The sequence below is a fragment of the Homo sapiens genome, chromosome 4 (assembly GCF_000001405.40).
Source record: "Homo sapiens chromosome 4, GRCh38.p14 Primary Assembly".
Classification (NCBI taxonomy): domain Eukaryota; kingdom Metazoa; phylum Chordata; class Mammalia; order Primates; family Hominidae; genus Homo; species Homo sapiens.
In genome coordinates, this window is record NC_000004.12 from 45322142 (window position 1) to 45326893 (window position 4752).

The window sequence follows — 4752 nt, forward strand, 5'->3', positions numbered from 1 at the left end:
GCATTCAATCTTTCATCACAAATACAATGTTTGCTTTAGGATTTGTTCATTTTTATAGAGACCTTTTATTCATTTTGCCAAATTTTCTGACAAAATTTACATTTTATTTAGATTAAAATAAACTGTACTAAATTTATTTATTTTTTTAATACGGAAGTATTTTCTGTATTTTTTCCAGATAAAACATAAAACACCTATTTTTACAGGTTTTCCAGGTTTGGCTTATGAATCAAGATGAGGCATTAGATATAGTTATGACAAAAAAAATGGAAGAAAACAGACACGTCAGATATACGTATCCATGGCCTCTGATTCTGCCTTGACCATGAAACCTATATTTTCAACATATACTGACTAAAAAGTTTATGATATGGCCTCAACAAAAGAATGTAAATAGCAACAAGAAGTTTACAACTGGAGTTTGAATGGAAGAGTCTGCCATTTTTGTCCCACATCTTGTTGTTGCTGTTTACATTCCTTTGTTGAGCCTACATCTCCATAAGCTGTTTAGCCAGCATATGTTGAAAACTTAGCAATGGTGGACTCTTCCATTTAAACTTTAATTGTAAACTTGTTCCTTAAAGTTCATTTGATAAAGACAAAATCCACACTGAAATCCTGGTTTGGTGAGCTTTGTAAGTGTCTTTCTCTGGTAATTTCTTTAACTGTTTATTATAGATTATGAACAACATATTTAAAACTTCTACTAGTCAAAAGCCAATTGTGGATTTCACTGTAATATTTTATGATATGTATTTTGTCTTGCCACAACTCCTCAAAATTTATTTCTTAAAAGAATTGATAATTCAATACCCAATAACTGGATGTGCAGTGGAAATAAATGTTATGTCTAAAATGGATTAACCTAAACAATTCCAGAGTGAAGCTAGCAGGGATCACACGAAAGTGAAACACAGCACTTTCCATACTATATTCTGGAAGAACAGATTGGTCTTCAAAGCATGAGAGTTAAAACAAGGGCCTTTTAAATACATAGATCATTAATGGCTAAGGTACTCAATGGAAAGCCTATAGGCAAAGATATGCCTTACAGCTTTTCTTCCAAACATCAAATATAAAAGAAGACATATTTTAAAAGTCTCTTAGGCATTTTCACTGGCTTCTGAATTATCCACAGGAAGCTGTTAGTTGTATAGAGTTTGATATATGTACTCCCAATTAAGTCTGGTGTGTTTTATATCAAAAGTTTTGTTAAGTAAAGCTGAGTTACTCAACCTTTGTTCCATCAAAGTGTTTAAGTATGCTTTCAGACACTTTCATAGATTTTCATAGCACTTATTCTCAATCTTCGTCACAGAAAGAATACACAGGTCCTTTAAAGATCCATATATATTAGGAAAAAAAGATGTCAGGCAGGTGGAATGCTTCATACATGGGGGACAGAAGTCCTATATCTTTACTCTGTGTTTCCATATGACTCTTCAACAAGGAAGCTCAGCTGAGAACATGTCTGGACTGAGTAAGTGACTTCTGTACTTGTCAGCATGGTGTTCCTCAGATGTACTGAATTTAAGCTGTCCTATGACTGAAGGTACCAGAAATAAGCATATCATAGTTCTGAGGTACTGTTCTGAGAACATATCTTTGAGGTACTCTTCTGAGAATATATCTTTCAGTTTCTGAAAAATGTGCTCCACAGTTGGAACACTTAGGGTTTCTTTATAAAAACTCTCAGAGGTCAGTTGAGGTGCCATGTTACCTTGCTAAGCTCTATGGAATTTCCCAGGGAGTTTTATTTGACTATCAAGTTTGGTTACCAAATCTGTGGCTTCCTCAAACTAAAAATAATGATAGACTTCAATATCTTCCATCACTTCATTGAACGAATGTAGTACTGCAGTCAAACTACTGCCTACAAAGACGATATCAGAGGTGTGACCCTGGAGATTTCTTCAAAGGGTTCATGTAAAGGACTTTTTTTAATAACAATGGTAACAACGAAATCAAAATCTGTTGCTGCACTACAGAGGACAAATTCTTGGCTGGATACTCAGTCATCTCATCTAATATTGCATCATCATTTATATCATTTAAACATAAAGAAGTGCTAGCATGAGGTCCACTAAAATTTCAAAAGCATCATGCCTGCCTGTTCAATGGGAATACCAGATTTCCTTTAGTAATTTACCCTTTTCTCCACTGTTTTGAAAAAGAGCAGAAATGACACTGTCAACTCCTAAAAGCAGTTGTGATTGATGGAAAAAATGAAGAAACTTCTGCAGTTGTTCCTAATGCAACAGATAAACCCATAATAGGCATTGATTTTGTCAATCACATATTTAAGGCACAGGAAAGGCAGGGCGGGTAGATACCTTGAGGATATTTTTCTAAAAGTCTAGGAGAAACAACTTTCATTTTGGAAGAGAATCCATTGTACACAATGTAAACTTGGCCATGACAATAATACTCCATATTTAGTCCCCATTTCTCAGTTATGGTAGTGTGAAATTTCACAGCCAAAATTTCTGCTTCAGCTTCATAAGGCAGGAAGCCCACAGATTCCTCTCTCAGGTTATGCGATTCATAAACAAACCTCTCCAACACAAGTGGGCACTCTTCCCCTGATATGTCCACTACATTGTCAGTGATGGCTGTGTTTGGATATTTGACCCTCCAAATGTCATGTTAAAATGTGATGCCCTATGTTAAAGGTGGGGACCAACAGGGGGTGTTGGGGTCATGGGGTAAATCTCTCATGAATCATGTAGTGCCGTCCTTGTGTAATGTGTGAGTTCTTGCTGTCTTAGTTTCTACAACAGCTTCTTGTTGAAAGGAACCTGGGACCTCCCTCCCCTCTCTTTTTCCAGTCATGTTATCTCTGCATGCACCAGCTCCCCTTTTCCTTCCATCCTGAGTGGAAACAGGCTGAGTCCCTCGCCAGACACAGATGGTGGTGCCATGCTTCTTGTACAGCCTGCAGAACCATAGGCCAAATAATCCTCTTTTCTTTATAAGTTACCCAGCCTCAAGTATTCCTTTATAGCAACACAAACTGACAAAGAGTGATAATGACAAGGAAGTGTGAAATTCTCACTTCTCTTAGAGTTTCTTCCCTAATACAGCTCTCACAGATCTCTAGCATATGATTCTACTGTGTTTCCAAACAGAACAGTGTGTTGTGTTAGCCACTGTTGTCTCAGAGTGCTGTCTTCGGACCTCTTCACCAGAATTTATCTGGCACTCCAGCAGTGCTTGACAGTCATCAGGAGTAAAATTACCTTCTGGGGTTTCGTCACCCCAGAAGGAATGTTTAGCTTTCCCTTAAGAATCAAAATTTCAAATAAAGACTTTATGTTTAGCTTTCCCATGAGAATCAAAACTTCAAATAGAGACTTTATGTATTTTTTTGTTTTCCTTCTTGTCAAAGATTAGAGGTAAAATGTTCTAATCTGTTCTTCATCCCCTTCTCTGCACTGGGGTTCTGAGCATTGCTGTTACTGGTTTCTGTGTGTGTGTGTGTGTGTGTGTGTGTGTGTGCGCATGTGTGTGTGTGTGTATATGTGTGTGTGCATTTTCCTCTTCAATGTTGTGAACATTTTCTGCTTTATGTGTTCTGATTTCATCTTCACTCAATTCTTTTATTCATTTTCCCTGTCATTTAGATTGTTTAAATGACTAAGATCAACTATTGTTGGTATTACATTATCTTAAATAACTATCCTATAAGCACTAGTTCTATAGATCATAAGAGGTCTCAAAGTAGTTGGCACATACTTGACAATGTTTTATTAGTTGATCAGATGTTTTCTCTTCTGTCCACTCTCTTACAATTTACCTGTTTCTGGCATCTGGCTGGATCCGGTGGGAAACTGGAAAAAGCCAGGTCAAACTGTATGCTCTTTTGCAGTACAATTGGTGGCAGTGCAGACCTCACCTACCTTCTATTGTGCTCAGCCTTCTTTTCCTTGCCTTCTCAGGGCAGCCTGCTGGACACAGGGGCCCAGGAGAGGAGAATGTGTTGTTGTATTTTAACAGACCTTTTTTTTTTTTTTTTTTGGGATGGAGTCTCACTCTGTCACCCAGGCTGGAGTGCAGTGCCGTGATCTCAGCTCACTGCAGCCTCCACCTCCTGGGTTCAAGTGATTTTCCCACCTCAAACCCTCGAGTAGCTAGGACTATATCTGGGACCACCACAACTGGATAATTTTTGTATTTTTAGTAGAGACAGCGTTCCGCCATGTTGGGCAGGCTGGTCTCCAACTCCTAGCTTCAAGTCATCCGCAGGTGTCGGCCTCCCAAAGTGCTGGGATTACAGGAGTGAGCCACCATACCCAGCTGTATATCTTCTTTATTTTGTTAATATGATGAGCTATAGATTGAATTTTGAATGTTGACCCAACTTTGTATTTCTGGAATAAATATCACTAGGTTATGTTTGATGTAGTATTCTTTTTATATGTTGATATATTTAATTTGAAAATAATTCATTGTAGATTTTTGCATCTATCTTCAAAATAAATATTGGTCTTTTCTTTTACTGGCTGTCTCACATTTTAGTACAAGTAAATATTCCCTTCTTTCTCTAGTCTGGATTCTCCAAAGAAACAGAACTGAGAAGATATATGTGATATATGTATGTGTGTATATTTTATAGAAATTGGATCACATGATTATGGAGACTGAGAAGTCCCATGATCTGCATGATCTGCCATCTGCAAGCTGGAGAACCATGAAAGATGGTGGCATAATTCAGTCCAAGTCCTAAAGCCTGTGGGGTGGGTGTTGGGAGGT

General features: G+C 37.6%; 1 pseudogene; it reads right to left on the reverse strand.

Moving 5' to 3' along the window:
• Positions 1604–2610, reverse strand: THAP12P9 (THAP domain containing 12 pseudogene 9; annotated as a pseudogene).